The sequence below is a fragment of the Homo sapiens genome, chromosome 1 (genome assembly GCF_000001405.40).
Source record: "Homo sapiens chromosome 1, GRCh38.p14 Primary Assembly".
NCBI lineage: Eukaryota > Metazoa > Chordata > Mammalia > Primates > Hominidae > Homo > Homo sapiens.
This window is the reverse complement of record NC_000001.11, coordinates 103,747,772-103,768,703: the sequence shown is the minus strand read 5'-3', so window position 1 is coordinate 103,768,703 and position 20,932 is coordinate 103,747,772. Positions and strand designations below refer to the sequence as shown.

General features: G+C 36.2%; 1 protein-coding gene across 2 annotated transcripts; it reads right to left on the bottom strand.

The window, feature by feature from the left end:
• Positions 1–10,011: 10,011 nt before the first annotated feature.
• Positions 10,012–19,050, bottom strand: AMY1C (amylase alpha 1C). Of its 2 annotated transcripts, none has more exons than NM_001346780.1 (11): positions 18,880–19,050; positions 18,067–18,280; positions 17,575–17,721; positions 16,574–16,771; positions 15,895–16,125; positions 15,022–15,155; positions 14,083–14,205; positions 13,890–13,989; positions 11,791–11,909; positions 11,555–11,680; positions 10,012–10,235 (listed from the first exon to the last, which is right to left on the bottom strand). In NM_001346780.1, exons 2-11 carry the CDS (start codon positions 18,232–18,234, stop codon positions 10,046–10,048), a joined length of 1,536 nt encoding a protein of 511 aa, NP_001333709.1. In that variant the 5' UTR covers positions 18,235–18,280; positions 18,880–19,050; the 3' UTR covers positions 10,012–10,045. The 2 variants fall into 2 exon arrangements, with proteins under 2 accessions (NP_001333709.1, NP_001008220.1); NM_001008219.3 differs by lacking the exon at positions 18,880–19,050 and adding an exon at positions 18,638–18,806.
• Positions 19,051–20,932: the final 1,882 nt, after the last annotated feature.

Sequence of the window (20,932 nt, the reverse complement as noted above, 5' to 3'; positions counted from 1 at the left end):
AAAAGACTAAACCAGTTCATCTTCCTTCTAGTCTTACTCCTGGGTCATTTGCTAATAAAGACAGTGAATAGATTGCAGACCAACTGCTTTAATTACTTCCTCACGCTGCTGAATGAAGTTTGTTCAACAATTGCCAAGCTGATCATCAAACATATCCTTTGCTATTGCTTACAATGCTTCTTGACTTCTAAAATTAGATTTGTATATAGCTTTAAGGCCCAGCATATCCCAGTAGCTCACTGTTCAAAGTAATAAATATTTGATTGGGTCTTTAAGGCTAAAGACCTCAAAATTTCTAAGAAGTTTGTGCCATGGACAAAATTTGTTGGTTATTTTCTTTATATACCAGTCCAGATTTCACTGTATTAGTATTTCTATGCTGGTTCTTATAATTTATTTGAGCTGGAAATCTCATAGTTTTAACATAGATGAAGGGGTTATTTTCCTACAGATTTTGCTCTTTTTGTCACTTTCTGTTTTTATTAAAGAGGGAGTTGGAGTGAAAATACTTTTGCTCTGCATCTTCAAACATAAAAAATGAAACATTTCAAAAGACCTACCATGCCATAACTAAAATTTCTGCGGTTTGAAGAAGTCTACCAAAAAAATTTGCTTCAATTATATATGTTCAATTTTTTTGTGAATTAACTAAAACTTTTGTAAGACTCTGTATTAACTTTGGAAAGATGTAATAAGCTTTTGAAAAGCAAATGATTATGTTTTCATTACTGTTTTGGATTCTAAAAGTATATGAATGACACAGGCAATATAAGGGTAAAAAAAGGGTAAGAAAAGAAAAAACAAAACTAATCTTCATGTTCACTTTTAACTATTTTGAATAAGAATCTATGGAGTCAAATTTTATTGTCAGTGATAAGGAATTTAATTCACTTCAAGGAAACAGCAAAAAATATTGCATCAGAATATGTGGGTATTTTAGAAATATATACTTTGGATTGATATTTTTCTATATTTTGGATTAACAAGAGAATCAAATGTAAAATCATCCTTAGGCATAAGAAATTATTGGCCAGTTTCCACTAAATGATAAGTTTTCTGGAGAAAATGCTGTACCTAATTTATCTTTTTACCTCTCATATCTGCTATTATACCTACCGATGGTGTGTATTGTACTGCTGTCGATTTGTGATAGAAATATTTAAACAATGTCTTTTAATTTTCTCCTAATTAATTAGTATATCTCAATTATAATGTCAGTGTTTTCGTTTGTACCATGTCATTTATCACTAAAGACTATAAATTTTCTTTCCAATGAGGTAAAATTAAAAAAAAAACAAAACTATTCTCTATTGGAACATAGATAGCACATTTTCAGCAAAATAATACTTGTCAAACACAAAGATGGAAAAAGAAATCCTAGTCAATTTAAAATACAGAGGACTGGCATTGATGGGACACAGTGTCTAAGATAGAATTGTACAGAATTCCTATAGTAACACCCAATTTTGTAAAATATACCTCCAGGAACAGAGGCTCCATTTTAGATCTCATTGTATCTGAAAGGCAATCTTTCTTAACAGAGTTCCAAAATTCCTCTTCAATTTCAATATGATATTTTATTCTAAGGTTAATAGATATTAGTAATATATCCGACCACAGAATATCAGCTACAAAAAGAATAAACATAGAGTAGATAATTCTGTGGCTTTGATTTAATTGCAAGACTATCAGAGGAATCAATTTGGACTAGATGTAAGATCTTCATACTTTAACACATCCAGTTCCAAATAAGGCAGTGCCATTGTGAAAATCTTTGAGTTCAGGTATGATAAGGCAAGTTACTAATATTAATAATAATCACAGTACTGCATGAAGGCATATATCTCAAAATATGTCTTGACATCTAAATATTGTAACACACGCTATATATTTTGACAAAATAATAAATACATTTGGATGACTGAGTGAAACATGTCAGTTCCCAGCAGCGTTATTTATATGTGTGTGCTGGAGGACAGGGAGCCTGGAGCAGTGTTAGGCACTAAAGTAAGTTTAAAGCAACAACCCAAGACAGTCCAAAAAGGAGACAAATAATGTACCTGTTTTAGTCTGTTTGGGCCACTATAACCAAATAGCATAAACTGAGTGGCTTATAAAAGCAGAAATCTATTTTCCACAGTTCTGGAGACTAAGTTCAAAATCAAGCAGATTTTGTGTCTGGTGAAGGCTAACGTCCTGGTTCATAGAGGGTACCTTGTGGATGTGTCCTCATTTGTTGGAATAGGCAAGCATCTTATTCATAACAGCACTAAAAAGAGTTCCACCCTCATGACCCAAGTTCCTAATACTATGCCCTCATGTGTTAGAATTTCAACATATTACTTTTGGGGGCACACCTTCAGACCATAACAATGTTTGATTATTTAAATAATTCTAATAGTGGTGTGATTACTAACAGCTAATGATGGATTCATGGAGAATTCTGAAGTGTTCCTGCTTGCCTACAGGGTTTACTGTAGTATATAAACTGTACATATACTGTAATATATATACTGTAACATATATAGTAATATATTTCTTGTTCTGAGAATAAGACAAGATCATGAGGTTGTATCCTAGAATGAAGTTTAATGCCTATAAGATTCCAAGAAACTTAATACATGTAATCGGAAATGTTTTATTTCTTCATGGTGGAATTCTCAACATGATCAGAAGCTGTACTGATGCTATAATTCGACTAATGAGAAAGACTGCAAGAGGCAAGAACTTTCTTTTTCTCAAGAGTTTGGGAAACTATGAGGAAAAAAAACTCATAAAGAAAGAAAGGCAAAACTTTATCAAAGGATAAAGGACAACAAATGATTCTGAGATCTAAATATTGCCACTTGACCTCAGACTTTTTGTTGTTGTTGTTGTTGTTTGACAAGTCCATAGATTGAAGGTCAAGGTCAGAGAAGGAAATTTGGCAAATAAACTGAAAATCTTTGTGATAAATTTGGATTAAAAGGCAACAATGATTTGAGACCTAATGTAGCACATCACTGTTGAGGGAAAGAGATTCTTCGCAAACAAAACAAGACTTTGGCATACAAAGAGCTTCCACCCCTCAGTATGTAGATGAGTTCAGTTAGTGGTTTTGTTGTGAAAGAAGAACTTCACTACAGCATGACCTTTTTACAAAAAGCATTAGCATCAGCAGGAAAGAGACTGGTTCCTATATTGATTAAAAGGCAATTTCACCTGGCTGCTTCACAGGCACCTTGGAAACCATAATATACAGAAGAAAAATAGCTGGTACTGCATGATTCTGAGGATTGTGTTCAGACATGAGATATGGTACCCAGCCTTTCAGTCAGAGAATTTGGAGACATTGAAAGCAAGCTATAAGTGCCACAGTAATAAATGTTGTCAGTCTTAGACACACAATGAAACATAAAACTTGGAACTCATTTTCACTTAAATCTGGAAGTTAATACCTAACTGAAGAAACAAAGCTGCTGTTTAAAGAACACATTCTATTCAACAAAGCCGCACTTTCAGGAAGACTAACAAATTAATTACTCATAAGTCCAGGATATGTTGAAAAATTAAAATTATGTGGAAATAGAAGACCTTGGGGACATAAAGGGACATGTATGTGTCAGAGAAGGTGAAAGTGAGTCTAGAGAAAAGGAGATTTGGAGAAAGAATACAGAACAAGAAGAATCAATTGGTTAGGCTGGGCGCAGTGGTTCATGCCTGTAATCCCAGCACTTTTGGAGGCCTAGGCAGGCGCATCACCTGAGGTCGGGAGTTCAAGACCAGCCTGACCAACACGAAGAAACCCCACCTCTACTAAAAATACAAAATTAGCTGGGTGTGGTGGCGCATGCCTGTAATTCCAGCTACTCAGGAGGCTGAGGCAGGAGAATCCCTTGAACGAGGGAAGCGGACGTTGCAGTGAGCTGAGATTGCGCCATCGCACTCCAGCCTGGGCAACAAGACTGAAACTCCATTAAAAAAAAAAAAAAAAAAAGCAGTCAGTGTTAGGATAAATGCTTTGGCTTTTGAATGACAAATACAATCGAACTGACTGAAGTCCGAAGACAATTTGTTAACCTTCTAACTGGGACGTGCAGGGATACAATAGATTAGACCTAACTCCAACACACAGCCTGGAGTAAAGCCCAGGCAAACTGCAATATAAAGCAGAACTGCCCTTAAATAACCTAGAAATTTGGGAAAAAAAATATTGTTTAAAGTTAGGAAGAATTTAAGGTTGTTACGTAACATTATTGCAGCAGAAAATTAAATATTAAACATTTTTATACTACTTATGAGTTACATTCAACTCATTTTCAAATAAATGTACAAAAAATGCTTGGGGAAATAGTAACACAATTTCCACATGTGATTAGATTGTCTCACAATACTCTCAAAATTTTTAATTTTTTAACCTTTCAAAAACATTTTCCATGTAAGATATTAAAATAAAATGTATAAAATATCACATTTTAAAGCTTTTTCTCTATACTTGAATTTGAAAGCAACATTTTATGGCTGTATAAATGTTATCCAGTCACCTAGGACAGGGAGGAAAAAGGTGGAGCAGGCATTGATCTCACGTCAATCCACTGAAACTTAAGACAGAAATCCTCACTGAGAGCCTTTGTACATTGGGTTCTACATAACATTTCAACTTCCGTGGAGTAAGAAGGTGAGATTATTTGAGATTATTTTTCTACATTAAAAAGCAAGTTTGTAACTTTCTTTATTACATAGTCATCTTACACAAAACATTTTAAAAACTCTTCTTACTACTAAAAGTAATTTGTTTGTGTATATCTTAATTAAATCTAAATATAGTTTAAAAATAATAATTATGCTAAATTAGACACCATAGAGGGAATATCTCCTTTCCTCATAGCCTAGATAATCACGGTATGAAAAAATGCTTTTTCCTATAACTCCTATAATCATATCATTTGCAGAATATGTCCTGTGTTAAAAATTGTCAGTGCAATGTTGATAACAAATTGCATATTTTAATCCACTAAAGAAAGAGAGATCTATATCTCCATCATTGAGAGTTTATATCTATAATATTTTTCTTTCCAAAGGTGTGATTATTCCAACACACTATGATAACTTAAAAATTATTAATGTAAAATATTTCAGTTCACTGGGAAGGATACACTTTTTTAAATTTTTAATTTTTGTTGGTACCTAGCAGGTGTATATACTTACAGGGCATATGTCACATTTTGATACAGGCAGACAATGTGTAATAATAACATCAGGGTAAATGGTTATCCATCACCACAAGCATTTATCCTTTATGTTACAAACAATCTAATTATATTCTTTTAGTTATTTTAAAATGTACAATTAAGTTGTTATTGACTATAGTCACCCTGTTGTGCTGTCAGATACTAGGTCTTATTCATTTTCCTAACTGTTTTTTTGTACCCATTGAAAATTCCCACTTGCTTCTCATCCTACCCTTCCCAGCCTCTAGTAACAATCTTTCTACTCTCTAAGTCCATGTGTTCCATCGTTTGGATTTCTAGCTCCCACAAATAAGTGAGAACATGTGATGTTTTTCTTTCTGGGTCTGGTTTATTTTACTTCACATAATAATGTACAGTTCCATCTGTATTGTTGCAAATGACAGCATCTCATTTTTTTATAGTTGAATAGTACTCCATTGTATATATGTACCACATTTTCTTTATCCATTCATCTGTTGATGGACATTTAGGTTGTTTCCAAGTCTTAGCTATTGTGAACAGGGCTGGAATAAACATGGGAATGCAGATATCATTTCAGTATGCTGATTTTCTTACTTTTGGGTATATACCTAGCAGTGGGATTCCTGGATCATGTCATAGCTCTATTTTTAGTTTTTTGAGGAACCTCCCAACTGTTTTCCATAGCAGCTGTACTAATTTACATAACCACAAAAAGTATATGATGGTTCCCTTTGCTCCAGATCCTCAACAGCATTTCTTATTGCCTGTCTTTTAAATAAAAGCCATTTTAACTGGGGTGAGATAATATCTCATTGTAGTTTTTATTTGTATTTCTCTGATCAGTGATGTTCAGCACATTTTCATATGCTTGGTTGCCATATGTATACCTGCTTTTGAGAAATGTCTATTCAAATCTTTTGCCCACTTTTAGATCCAATTATTAGATTTTTTCCTCTAGAGTTGTTTGAGCTCCTTAGATATTCTAGTTATTAATCCCTTGTCAGATGTGTGAAAGGAAAATATATTGGGACCCCAAAATCACTAAGGAAAATTCAAGCCGGAAACTGCTTAGAACAAACCTTCCTCCCATTCTACTCAAAGTCATCCCTCTGCTCACTGAGATAGATACAAATCTGATTTTATTCCTTTGGAAAGGCTAATCAGAAACTCAAAATACCAGGGGATTGCAAGATTTCAGTCTACACCTTCACCTAGTAAGTGCTTTTTGTCCCACAATGACAGTCATTTATGGCACTCTATGAGAAGATATTTCACCCCAAGTGAATATCTTCCTCCCTCTCCATTTTGGTTGCTTTTCCTTCATGTAAAAGCTCAGCACTGCTGACTGAATTTAAAGAGTCTATTAATAAGAAAAGTTAATTTTCTACTGCTGGGAGGCATGTATGGTTAAACCCCAAACCTCTCTTTCTAACCTCTCTTTCTAACTTCCCCAAACTTCTCTTTCTAACTTCTGCCTGGAAAAAATTTAGAGTCACAGATTTTACCTAACTGTTCAGAACCTACAGCACCACCTCATGAAATAGGATTTTTTTCTCTGCAAAGAGTCTTTTCAGCCCTTTGCCAAAAACCTCTAGTACCCAGATTTCTTCTCCTTTTGTGTTCCTCTATCAGTAAGCAGACTCTCTGCCCCATTTGTAAGGAAAAATCTCCACATTCAACAGTTGGGAGGAAGCCAGCCTTGAGAGACAAATTCTAGCCTCAGTGCTGTTCCCATCAGAAGGAGGACAGCCGTTAAATGCATATGTTCTCGTGAGACACCTGTTCTGTTTCCAGATACATTGGCATTTAAACAGAAAAGGGTTTTTTTGTTTAAAAGTCACTGGGTAAAACTTTCTGGGAATGCACTTCTTTTCCAGGGCCATAACTAGAGGAGGCAGGAATAGGGTTAAAGCACTCCCTCTAATAAATTGTGTCACCCAACTTTATCTACTGTACAATCTTCTGGGAGGCCTGGGTACCCAGAAGAGCAGTGAGATGAGGCATTGTGCTGGTAAGCATGATTACTCCTGCCAGCTAGCACCTCCAGATCCATGGGTGCAATTCATGCTTGCATCCATGGGCAGCACCTATGATGGTTGCTGGGACCCAAAGGAGGTGGGAGGAAAGAGGAGAAGAGGGACACCCCTGTAATCTTTCTCTTCATCCTGGGTCACTTTGAAAGGAGAAAGGAGACCAAGTGACACCTTCTACTCCCCTCCTTTTCTGCATGGGTAACAACCCATCTTCAAGCCTGCATTCCCCTTGGGTATAGCCTGGCTAGTCTCTAAACTTCAGATACTGAAGATCACTCTGGGCAAGTGCCAACTTCACTCATGTATAGAGGCCTTCCAGGATATAACCCAAGTATTTAAACTCTCCTGCAAGGATGTTATGTTACTCTTAAACCCTAACTGCTCCTGAGAGACAGGCAGCCCTACAGGTAGCAGAAAAAATCAGAGATGAACAGCATGTCTCCTATAGCCATTCAAAATGGGAAAGAGGGTGAGAAAGAGGCAGAATCCCCATACCTAGTAGGAAAAGAGGCAGTATCCATTGAAAACTCTAAATGGAACCCTACGAAGCCCATAGATGAGTGAAAAAGAAATCACTTTCAGATGTATATGGTAGAAGGTGTACAGAGGACCAGAGCCAAACCTGTTAACTACTCTAAGCTATCCATGATAGATCAAAACCTAGATGAAAATCCTTCAACCTTTCTATAAAGGCTGACAGAGACTATGGCAAAACATGCTTCCCTATATTCTAATTCAATTGAGGGACAGGTAATCTTGAAAGACAGGTTTACTCAAGCAGCTCCTGATATTTGAAGGAAGCTACAGAAACAGGCTATAGGACTAGAAGGCACCTTAGAAAACCTTCTAAGAGTAGCCACCTCTGTCTTTCATAAGACATACTAGGAGGAGGCTCAGGAAAAGGAGAGAAAATAGAAGAAAAAGTCAGACAGAGGGTACCTTGGAATGGAATCCAGGCCTGAGACTCCTTGAGCTCACTGTTCAAGACACCCTCATAAACTGGTCAGTAACAAACTTTGCTGCATGTCTCCGACTTGTTTTATGTCCTTAAGCATAACCTGTAACCATGTGGTAGTACCACTTTTCAGCCGTTGCCTTTTTACAATGGTGACCCAGGTTCAATCCCAGCCTGGGTGATGAATACTTTCCAGTTAACAACTGTGTGACGTTTAATCATCTCGTGCTCCGCCATGAAAAACTCTAACTGCCTTTCTGAAATCTTCCTTTCTCTCAACTGACTTTAAAGGTTCTAGATCTGGTAAAAGCTGCTTACCACCACTTATAAAATATCTTGTATACTAACGGTGAACTTATAACCTAACGGAGAGTTTTTAGTTTCCCCTGTGATGTTACCTTTGGTAAAATTCAAAAGCCAGAAATATTACCTGCTTGATTTAGCTAAAGTCAGGAAACAGAAGATGTCAAAGGATTTTCTGAAAGGGTGCTGAGCTTGATTAAAAGTGGATATTCAAGTTATAGGTATATTTAAAAGACCTGCATGTTTTTGTCTTCTTGGATCGTGTTTTTCTTGAAAAGAACTTTTCCATTGACTGAATTACTGTTCTCCACTCTGTCTTTCCACTCTTAATGCACACAAGATAACTTCTGGTGGCCTGAAACGTTTTGGGAAAAACAGAAAATGCATGATGGATTCCATTTTGGGAGAAACCTCTGTTTTCCTCATGGAATCCCAGAATCTAGAGGCTGATCAATCCTGCTCAAAATCTGTTTTTGTCTTACAGCTATACAAGTTGATTAGGCCCTAGAAACTTCGTGGTTTGCTATCCCTGTTCTTAAAGGGCTCTACTGGGAAGCCAGTAATGCAATTAGGAAATGGGACGAGAAGAAATCTTAGAGCTACTGGATCTTCTTCTGTTTGTCTGTGTAGCAATATATGTGTTGTGTGTGATGTCTGTAACGAGGACCAATTGATTGCCTTAAATAAAAATAAGCACTTAAATCAAATATTTTAGAGGAAAGTTAAAACCGTAATGCCTTTTAGTTTATGTGTTTTTAAACTCTAAGAAATAAAAACTGTTTTAAAGATCAAATTGGAAAATGCAAATATCATCAATATGTAAATAGCAGGTTTAAATCACATAAATTAGATAAAAGGCTTGCTAAATATTTCAAGGTTGTAGGCTGCCTACTTTACAACTTGGTAAGGCCTGGGGACATATGAAATTAACCATGCCCTAACTAGAATGGAAAAAGTCAGACTTTATCTGCATCTAGTACATAATTAAAACAACTTACCAGGTTTACATTAAAGTTAAAAATTGCTAAGATTGACCATAAAAATATGTAAATAAGACAACTAAAAATAAATTTACATGCAAGGTGTGTAGGAACACTTAAATGTGTTTGTGGTAAAAGATTATAAAAAGGCATAAAAATGTAAATGTTGCCTATGGAAAAAGGATTCTTTTGAAACCTATGTAAGGGTAAAATTTGGCTTTCCTTCCCTTGTACAGATTTTTCATGTAATAGAGAAGAATAATGAAATATTTGGTTTGCCTTGTTGGTAGAATGCCAAGGAGAGAAAAGAGTAGACAGGAGACAAACTGTTTGGAAAGCTAAGTCTTACCTCTTAATGAGTAAAGATTGTTGCCTAGTTTTAAAATTTTTGAGTCATCCTTTTGCCAAAATAAATAACTTATGTGTAACCTGGAATTGTATTTCATACTATCAAGTGTCTTAAACCTCTTTTTACTAATTAGAGCTTTTATTTAAAATTAATGATATGTAACTATTACTGTATATGTAAGAAAAGAAACACACTTAGCTATTGCTTTGCGGATTTGCATTTAATTTTAAATTTTACAATTTAGATTCAGCATGAATTGCAATAAATGGATCTTCAGCAGAGTTACTAATAGAAAAATGAGCTTTGCCATCATCAGAAACGTAGATTTTAATGCCTGTGCAGTTGCCATTAATTTTATCTCCAGAAATGACATCACAGTATGTGCCAGCAGGAAGACCAGTTTGCAAAGTTAAAGAAAATGTCCTGTAAAATAAAATTTCAGATTTAACTTCAAAACAATGAAATCAAGAATACAGACTAACACAAATAAACAGCATAACTTTATGTTTTAGAACCCTAAGCAGTGAAGTCTCATTAAGAAGAAAACCCATATGCCTCCCTAGTAGGTGTAAACAGCTTTCTAGGACCAAAAGTAACCTTACAGAAAACCTACCAATTTCCTTTTCAGTAGTGAAAATATAACCGAAAAATCAAAGTTGAAGAATATCACCGAAGATTGGCGGGAGCGGTCACATTTTGATAAAGTGCTACCTTGGTAAAATCAAATTTTTTCTCAACTGAACTTAATGCCAATTACTTTAAAAATTTAAAGGGTATTATTTTTTTAACCTTCTTTTATTCTACATGAGGTCAAAAAGAATTTAGGGTGTACATAAAAACAATCTAGCATTTGTATGAGGAAGTGATAGTTTGAAATATAAAGCTTTTTCACAAAAGATTTTTTTGGTATTTTCATCCACAAAAGAAGGAAACTAAGGAAATAGACACGCATTTTTTTGGCAGGAAAGAGATCAACTTGACTTATATATTTTTGTATTTATTTATTTTTCATAAGTGAAGTATAATTTATACTAGAGTGAGCTAAGTATGAGTGTCAGTTGGCCTTGGACAGAGACAATTCAACTGTTTGCAAGGAGGTCTTCTCAGCTACAGTTTCGGGAATCATTTATACTACAGCCAAAGGATACAAAAATCACAGATGAAAGGCCAATAATGAGAAGTTTCAGAACTAAAACTCAAGTCTCCTGAAGCAAATCATTAACCACAAGATACATATTATTTATCCATATGCTTTAAAAATGTTATTTGTCACAAGGAGACAGAGAAGTGAAGAAAGTATACCAAAAAACTAGGTAGAGCTGTCATTGAGAAAAAGAGAAATAAAGATATTTTAGTACTGAGGCAGCATTTTTCCATGATTAAAAGAGCAGGACTATAAGAAACGTTCTTTTAATGATTTCACAATCCTTCTATTAATTACTTTGTGTATTTTGTGGCATGTGTAGGTAAGCATATGAATGTGCATTCTATATATGCATAAGATATTGCAAGGGTGCACAGAAAGGATTCTGCTTACAACAGAAAGCCCTTATGAAAACAGGAGAACGAAGGAGTAACAGCCATCATCCTTTTGCTTCTACCCAATTTTGATCTCTATTGTCTTCTCGCTCCACTGACTACATGATTTTTCAGATATGATAAATGTCAATGAACAGAAAAAAAAAAGAATAAACCAAGAACATACTGGTACAAAATATTATTTTTAATTGATATTTACTTACCAGTCATCATTGTTGAAAACAATGAATCCTCTGTTTCCTCTCCCAAAAGCCACTTGGTTGCTCCCATTATCATACCAGTTTGTAAAAGGCTGGCCATCCACTACATTGCGGAAATTAACCATGTTCCTAAAAACACAATACCATATAAAACGTTGATATTCTTAAACTTCAACTGTTTTAAATAAAGTGCTACGGAAATTTACTATTAGAGGACATGTCTAAATACATATTCTCACCTTATTTGGCGCCATCGATGTTCACAGACCCAGTCATTGCCACAAGTAGTGTCTGGATTAATAGTAACTTCTTTAGTTACTCCATTATCATTTGGTGGCCCAACCCAATCATTAACATCCTTAATTACAGGAGGAAAAGCCAAATTTTAGCATATATATATTTATCTCTTCCTTCTCCTTTAAACCAAACCCAACCTATCCTGTTACTTGTGTCTCTGCATTCAGTGACTTTATCTAGAATCCAATGCCTTCATTGATTTTTATAGCCCTTTACTGGGTCTTCATCATCTCTCTATCCTCTGGTTCTCTTTTGCCATATTTCAAACAAAGGTAGCAAATTGTTATCCTCTCCTTTTCATTCCAAGGCACTGCAAAGACTTCTTTGCTCTGTCACCCAGGCTGGAGTACAGTGGCATGATCGTAGCTCACTGCAGCCTTGATCTCCGAGGCTCAAGCGAACCTCCCATCTCAGCCTCCCAAGTAGCTAAGACTGTTGGTGTGCACCACCGCACCCAGCTAATTTTTTTTTTTTTTTTAATTTTCAGTAGAGGCAAGGTCTTGCTAGCTTGCCCAGATAGGTCTTGAACTCCTCAGGTCAGCTGACCTTCTCAGCTGGCCGCACACAGTGCTGGGATTATAGGTGTGAGCCACTGCACCTGGCCTGCAAGGGCTTCTTAACATCACTGTAAGCCATGCAATGGCATTGAAATGGGAAGGGCATTAGTACTAGAAACACCAGGATTAAAACATAGGCTCTATTACTAGTAGCTGAGAAAATTTAATCAATATAAATAATTTCTCTGTGTCTCAGTTTCCTCATTTGTAAAATGAGAATAATGAGTTCTTTTGCTATAAAAATTAAGTAATATATGTGAAAATGCCTTGAACATGACATATGCTAAATAAATATTGGAGGCCGTCATGCTTCTTTTTAGATAAATGTACAAAATACTACATCTGAACATTTTTTTTTATAAATTGACCATATTTTTAGTATTATGCTTTTCTGATTGGCACTTTAAGAAATCTTCATTAAAAAACACAGAGTAACCCTAGGAAGTTTATCAGTGTTCACCTTAAAATCACGTCATATGGTGAAAAGTGAACAAAACTTAAGAGTTTATAGCATGCAGCAGTCCTGTCAAAGTGGGAATGTTATAGTAATAGAAAAAATAAAAGAACTCTCTGACTCCTAACAACAGAAATAAGACCAATTAGTAGAAATTATAAGAAGTTGTCTCAATATAAAAGTACACCTTCTAAATATTAAAGCTGTTTAACAATAGAATCAGTTGTTATACATAGTAGCGGACTTCTCAAACTGAAAGGAATCTAAAAAAAGCTAGCTAGATATCTGTGTGACTCATAGGAAGGAGGAATTTCTGCTTTAGTTCTGAAGTCTCTGATGCTGTTTCTCAACCCTTTAGTTTAAAAGAAAACCTTCTACTAGCTTTCCAAATATCTTTACACTCTTATTTCTCTGTTCCTTTTTGAAACTACTCAGCAGAGTGATGTCTTTACCATACTCCCAAATATTTTTCTCATTCTTACCTTTCTTGGAATACTCTCTATAAATTTCTATCCTTTAGTACATACAATTTCCTTCCTCTTATAGTATACTTTCCCTATTTAACTCAGCTGAACTGGATCATTTGTTTCTATACCATATAACTTTTTAACAGTATTTAAAAGACATTTATATTGTTCTCACTACGGGCAGATGATGTTTTAAGTTCTCTACAAGGGTTGGCATCTATATTCTTCCAATTAAACCTGAGGAAGGTACGAAGTATATATTTTAATCCCTGTGCCTAGCTCTTATTTTTAAGTGGTTTTTTTAATTTTTATTTTTATTTTCCCTGCGGGCTAGGGGGATGTTTGTCATATCTCTGAAAAAGCTTGCTATTCTTTTTCAATGGAGAATATAAAGTTTATTCCTTTAATATAACCTGCATTACTAAATCACAACCCTGTATCAGGTTTACAATAATTAAATATTTGTTGAATAAATAAACACTTAATAGTTGTCATATTAAATTAGGAGAAGATTGCCTCTTTTTTCTTGAGAAAAGGATATTTTGAACAACTCCAAAACTTACTTTTCCATTTTCAAAATATCTTGGCCAACGGTAGCTTGACATTACTCGTGTAAATCCATAAGGATGAGCAAGCATAAATCCAACTGCCATTTTGTACAGCCTGAAAGTTACATAATTATATTATCATAGAATATCACAATATTCATACCATCATTAAAAGAGGTGTTAAAAAATAGAGAACTTGGTTTTCTACCTAGCATCCCAGAAGGTAAGTATAGAGGCTCCTCCAGCGCCATGTCCTCGTTGATTGTCATGGTTATCCACAAAGACAAGCGCTCTGTCAGAAGGCATGAAACCCCAACCTTCTCCCCAGTTCCTATTTTTGAAACATAAGATATACGTTGATGTATCATTTCACAATAGTTTGAGAGTAACTCTACTGTGCATCTCTTTCTGTAAGGCATGGCATCTGAAGATTAAATTCTTTCTCTAATTAGATGGTTACTCTGTAAGATATATATATATACACACACACACACAAACACACACTCACATATATATACACACACACCTCATAAACAAACACACGTGTGTAATCTACATATATATAGTCCATATTTGTATATACATGTATGGAATACTTATATTCATATTACAAATATAAAATGTTTGTTATTAAAAAATTTCCTTTCAGAGGTTTCAGCACATTATCATTTAGAGGCACTCCAGAAGGATCAATATCCACATCACATTATACAGAATGTCAAACTAGATTAAAATAAGGCTTTAATATTGTATTGTTATAATATAAATCATTTTACATTTCCAATTCGTATAAGTAAATACAATAGCATGGACACTTTGTACATACTTTATAAATGATAGGATCATTTTAATAATAACCTGGCTTTAAAAGATTATATGCAAACATCAGTCAAATCCAGTATATTCATCTTGTACGCAGACAGAAACTCCTAGGGTAAGTTTAGCGTTCCTAGGCATACTGTCTTGTGACAGACACTCTAAATACAAAAGATGATTGATTAGAGTTTAGGGCACTAGAATACTTATCATTAACAACTGACTCCTTAATAGTTGTCTGAATAAGAATGTTCCAGAAGATAACTCGCACTGGGGTAGTATGACTAACAGATCTATGAAATAGTTCAGGGGAAAAGTTGTATTTATTTACTTTAAGTAAGACATCTTCTCTCCATTCCACTTGCGAATAACTGTGCCGAGTTTTGCACCATACTTGAATTCTGTCACCCGGCCATTACCAAAGTAGTCACTGCTTTTAATTGGCTCACCACCCAGATCAATTACCTAGAAGAAATTTAGGAAAAAAAAACATTTTGCATAAGGACTTTAAAGCATTTTAACCGATAAGTTTATATTATATAAAAATTAGCTTTCAGCTATTTCTGAGTTATTTTAGACTTGTTGTGCTTTGTTCTTTAGAGACAGGGTCTTGCTATATCGTCCAGGATGGTCCCAAACTCCAGGCCTCAAGGAATTCTCCTGCCTCAGCCTCCCAAAGTGCTGAGTTACATGCAAGAGCCACCACGCCTGGTCCTATTTGTTATATGAAACGCTCAAAATCGTTTTCTTATTCTTATTATCTTCATCGGTAATATTCTTATATTCTTTTTTTGATAAAGTATACACTACAATATTGAAAGAAACATAATGTCAAAGTTACCTGTTGTCCTGTGAGAATACTTACCTAATTTTTAGTCTTGTACATCAATGATAATAATAACAGCTCACAGGAATACGATATTTACTATCTGACTGACTTTTTTTGATAAATATTAACTCATTTCATTTTCCAAAGAAAATAAAGACATAACTATTATCAGTATCCTACATTCTGTGTACCTCCATAAAACCTGTTGTGATAAAGAATTAGATATGCTGTATGTGAAGAAGAGGAGGTTAAAGAACACTGTTTTAAGGAAATGACTCAGTCTTTATCCTACAGAAATTGCATTTTTAATTGAATCTGCCGTGAATTTTCTAATGAATAGGATGATATTTTATATGCCTATATGTATTGACGTACCTCCTGGTAAATGAAAGGTTTACTACCTTCCGGGAACCAGTTACTGTTTAGATTATGCAGTTTGTCCAAAATTGCCTTTATGTCTCCAGGCCACATGTGCTTGGAAGCATCAATTCTGAACCCTGCAACACCAATGTCAATGAGATGGTTCATATATTCGGCAATCTTAGAACGCACATAATCCTTCCCCAGTGCAAGATCGAGAAGACCAGACAGACGACAATCTCTGACCTGTTGAGGTAAGAATGTTATGATTGATTAATAAAACCTCACTTTTCGCCTGAGAATCCATTTGATTATTCATTTATTCCATGATTCCTCAAGAGATATTCTATGGTGACTTCCTTGCATTGGACACTGGGGATGCTCACATTCTACTATAGATGTATCTTGGAAATATTTTCTAATAGAAAATAGAGAACTTAGGAAATAAAGTCGATGAGTTTTTCAATTGGTTGGGAGCTTTTTAAAAGTGGACAAATGTGTATTGATTAAAAATCTTAAATCAATATTTAAAGGTTTTCAAATATGGATTTGAGTTTCTTAAAGTAGTCAAACTTGTTAACCTCTGTCCCTAAGAGATCTAAATTCATATTTACAACGAAGTTCAATTAGCTACATGTCTACAACAAAAGGCATATATCACTCCTTATTCAGATCACTCTCGTAAAAAAATTACCTGAGTAGCATCATTATAGTTCTCGATATCTCCACTTCCAGTTTTACATTTACCATCATTAAAATCCCATCCAGAATATGGGACTGCTGGAAAGTCCCTACTTCCAGGGTTGAAGTAACTTCCACAGGTACTGCTTGTTCCTGCACTCACAGCATTACCACACATATGATTAATTACAGCATCCACATAAATACGAACCTAGAAAACAAAGTTTCTAATTCAGTGTGACTTACAGAGAGGCAGAAATTTAAAGAATTATTGATTAAATTTATAGTGTGCTAATAAAATTCCAAAATATTTCATACCTTATAACTATTTTCCTACAAGATCAAAAATCAACTGTGAAAGGAAAGTAATGTGAACTAAACACCTACATTCATTCCAGACACTTGGCCAAATATATATAGGAATGATAAACTGAGAGAACCGGAAACTACCATAAATAGGAGGAAAGGCAAAAAGCCCATTTTGGGGAGACACAACTCAGATGAGACTGAAAAGGTTACTATTTGGGAAATTTCAGTGGGTCACCAGGAGAAAGCCTGTACTCTCTACTAAGCTTGGAAGACAAATAAGGTAGCTATTCATCTCAAATTCTGCTCCTCATTAAATAGATAAGCTACCTATTCACCACAAAAAAAACCCAAGAATTAGGAATGGAGACACAAGTCATCTAAAAATGAGAGCAAATATTGTAACTGGAATTAAAATTCCTCACCAGAAAATCCTTCCAGGAAATATGGATAGTTATAGCGGTTAAAATTTGATGTTTTGCTTCAGAAGTAAACTCTGCTATAAACTTTAACTTATCTCTTTAGTAGAGAGCACATATACAAATATTTTCAAAAATTGAACATAAGGTGACAGTTACTTTTGAGTTTTAAAGTATGAAGTAAAATTAAAACTGATATGGAAAACTTTCTGCTCAAAAGGAGCAAGAAAGAAGAGACAGAAATCATTTTCCTATCTGTTATTTTTAAAGGAAACTAGAATTCACTTACCCCAACATTGTTGCATCTAGTCACCATGTTTCTAAATTCATCTTCATTTCCAGATCTTGTGCATAATTTATAGCTAACTGGTTGGTATCTTTCCCACCAAGGTCTGAAAGGGTTGTGAATGGCAACATTTTCATTTGGTGGAGAGACCTACAAATTAAACAGTCTTCATAAGTACCAAATTCTGTCTTACTGTATATCATTGAATGTTCTAGAATCTAATCAATAATACAAAAGATTCTTGAATCTTGGTATAGGCAGCTATCTCTTGAAAATATTAACAGCACATCGGAGGGCTCTTGTTGAAGAAAGATTATATCAGAAACAAAATATACAGTTGCAAAGAATACTACATTGTTTTTTCCTCAGAAAATTCTTTTACTTAGAATACTTACCTGTGAAGTAAAATGTTGCCCAAGCTTCACGTAGAAGATCAGAATAGTGTTTACTACAAGCACAGTGAATTCTGCAATTGATACTATGAATCATACCCACCTGAACCCCTCCAAATCCCTTGGGAGCTAAATATCGCTCACATTCAAGAGCAATATCAACCCATCGCCATTCAAACAGATGAACAATAGATGTTCGTCCTTGTTGTGTATTTGAGGAATACTGAGCCCAGCAGAACCCAATGGTGAAAAGCAACCAAAAGAGCTTCATTTTGCTTTGAAGTTGTCAGTGTCCTTTCCAGAAACTATTTATATTCCTGTAAGAAGCACATTTTACAATGTAAATAGTAGCATGAATAAATACTTGAGGGCAAACTGTTTATTCATAATCTGAAAAGGATTATCAATAATAATCCTAACTGGTGAAGAACATCAAAAAGTCTCTCATGGAAATCATCTCAATGACCTCTTAGACATTAATGTTTCTTTTCTTTTCTTTTTTTTTTTTTTTTTGCATATGGTAGCACTTTTATTTTTCCTTACACAATGACATGTTGCTGTGGCCTAATGTTCTCACATAACAGCAGAAAACCAAAATTTGTTGTCAACTCTTAAAAGATCGAGAATTGCATACTAAAAAACTTTACATAAATTAAAAGGATGAATACATTTACCGGTATAAATGCGAACCGCTTCCAACTCAAGGCAAGTAACAGCCCACGGTGCTCTGGTAGATAACGTAAGCTAAGAAAGGAAACTGGGTCCTATGGCTTGGACTTTCCAACCCTGACAGACCGACAAGACGGAAACAACTGGTTCAGGAGCCCTTCCCAGCCTCTAGATAAATCTCAGAACACTCAGCCCTGACACATTAATACCCTGCACGGATCAGAGACTGCTGACCACACAGACTCACCAAGCCAGACTTGTCTTCCACAAGCACGTTTTTAGCCATGAAGTGACCAAGCCACGTGTACTAAACACTGACATCAAAGGTATGTACAGATACCAAGGGGAAGAGTTAACTTGAATGCCAGGCCAAAATCAGCAACAAGTTCTACAATCCAGTGCTGATATTGAGAAGAGAGAAAGACCCTGTCCTCTTGTTTTATATTGTTTTCTATTCAGTAAAAACAACAAGGAAGCAAAATCAAAGGCACAAAACCAGGCCTGGGCCTGGTTGGCCTAAACCCAGTAGTTACAAATCAACTTATGATTTAGAAGCCGATGTTATTCATAGATTCCAGACATTGTATAGAAGAACATTGTGAAACTCCCTTCCATATTCTGTTTCTCCCTGACCACGGGTGCATGTAGTCCTTGTCGCATATCCCTGGCTTGTTCAAATCAATCACGACCCTTTCATGTGACATCTTTAGTGCTGTGTGCCCTTAAAAGGGACAGAAATTGTGCACTTGGGGAGCTCGGATTTTGAGACAGTAGCTATCCGATGCTCCCAGGTGAATAACACCCTTCCTTCTACAACTCGGTGTCTGAGAGTTTTGTCTGCCGCTTGTCCTGCTACATTTCTTGGTTCCCTGACCTGGAAGCAAGATAACTGATGGACGGCCGAGGCAGCTCCTTAGGCAGATTAGGCATGCCTTGTGGAGTAAGGCCGGGGCATCCCTCAGGCTGCCAGGGACTCTGGCCAGCCTGAGGGATGGGATCCAAAGAGCGCTCCCAGGTAGGAAATGGCCCCGGTTGAACGCCTCGCCAGAGCAGTGATCCCCGCGGAGGATTAACACAGTGGCTGAACACCAGGAAGGAACTGGCACTTGGAGTCCAGACATCTGAAACTTAGTAAGACAAGTCTTTTCAACTTGCCCCACTCCACCTGAGCGGAAGCTTGGCCTGATCGCTCATGGTGTGCCTGCACCCATATCAATTTCCATATAGAGATTCCTAGTTACAGCTAGTTTTAGATCCTCTACAGTGGTAAAAGGACAGGCAGCAGCAGTAGTAGTAGCAAAGGGACATTTATTTCAGGAAAGTTCTCGCTCCACCGGCCAAGAGAAGCCAGCACCTAAAGTTCTGTTTGACCCAGAGCTCGAGGACTCAAGGCAGGAGATGGCACCAACAGTGCCCTCAACCCCTTATCCAGTGGGGAGGCCCCCTTCTCCTGAGCCCACAGCCCCTAGACCACCCAGAGTAGACAAGAACAAAAGTGAAACTGCGGGAAAATCCACTTCCCTGGCAGCCCGCTTAACGGCCCAAGACGGGAATTCAAATGCCCTGAGAGAGCAGCGATATACTAGGACAGATGAGGTCAGACATACGGTAGAAAGGCATGCTTTTGTGTATCACCCTTTTACCTCTGCTGAACTACTCAACTGGAAAAATAACACTCCATCTTACACTGAAAAGCCTCAAGCCCTAATTGACTTGCTTCAAAGAATTATCCAGACTCAGAATCCTACTTAGGCTGATTGCCACCAGCTACTCATGTACCTCTTTAAAACACATAAAAGGCAACAGGTGCTGCAGGCAACAGTTAAATGGCTGGAGGAGCACATCCCAGCCAATTATCAAAGTCCCCAAGAATACATAAGAATTCAGCTGCCAGGAACGGACCCTCAATAGGATCCAAATGAAGGACCAGATATGGAAAGGCTAAGAGGGTACCGAGAGGCATTAATTGAAAGGTTGAAAAAAGGGGCTCAAAAGGGTACCAATGTAAATAAAGTTTCTGAAGTCATCCAAGGAAAGGAGGAAAGCCCAGCCCAGTTCTATCAAAGACCGTGTGAGGCCTATTGCATGTACACTCCTTTCGATCTGGAGAGTCCTGAAAATCAGCCGTTGATTAATACGGCCTTAGTTATTCAGAGTGCAGAAGATATCCAGAGAAAATTGCAAAAACAGGCTAGGTTTGCAGGAATGAAAACCTTGCAGTTACTGGAAAGAGCTAATGAAGTATTTGTAAATAGAGATGCAACAAGCGGCCAAGAAAGCCGTAAGGAGGGCGAACGCCA

What these genes read in the sequence shown, in the direction of transcription:
- AMY1C (NM_001346780.1), bottom strand. Translation starts at nt 18,234, where the DNA reads ATGAAGCTCTTTTGGTTGCTTTTCACCATTGGGTTCTGCTGGGCTCAG. An exon ending in CTAGATGCAACAATGTTGGG is followed by an intron (nt 16,772 to 17,574) that starts GTAAGTGAATTC and finishes TTTGTTTTCTAG; the next exon opens with GTTCGTATTTATGTGGATGC. An exon ending in GTTTTCAACAATGATGACTG is followed by an intron (nt 10,236 to 11,554) that starts GTAAGTAAATAT and finishes TTTATTTTACAG; the next exon opens with GACATTTTCTTTAACTTTGC.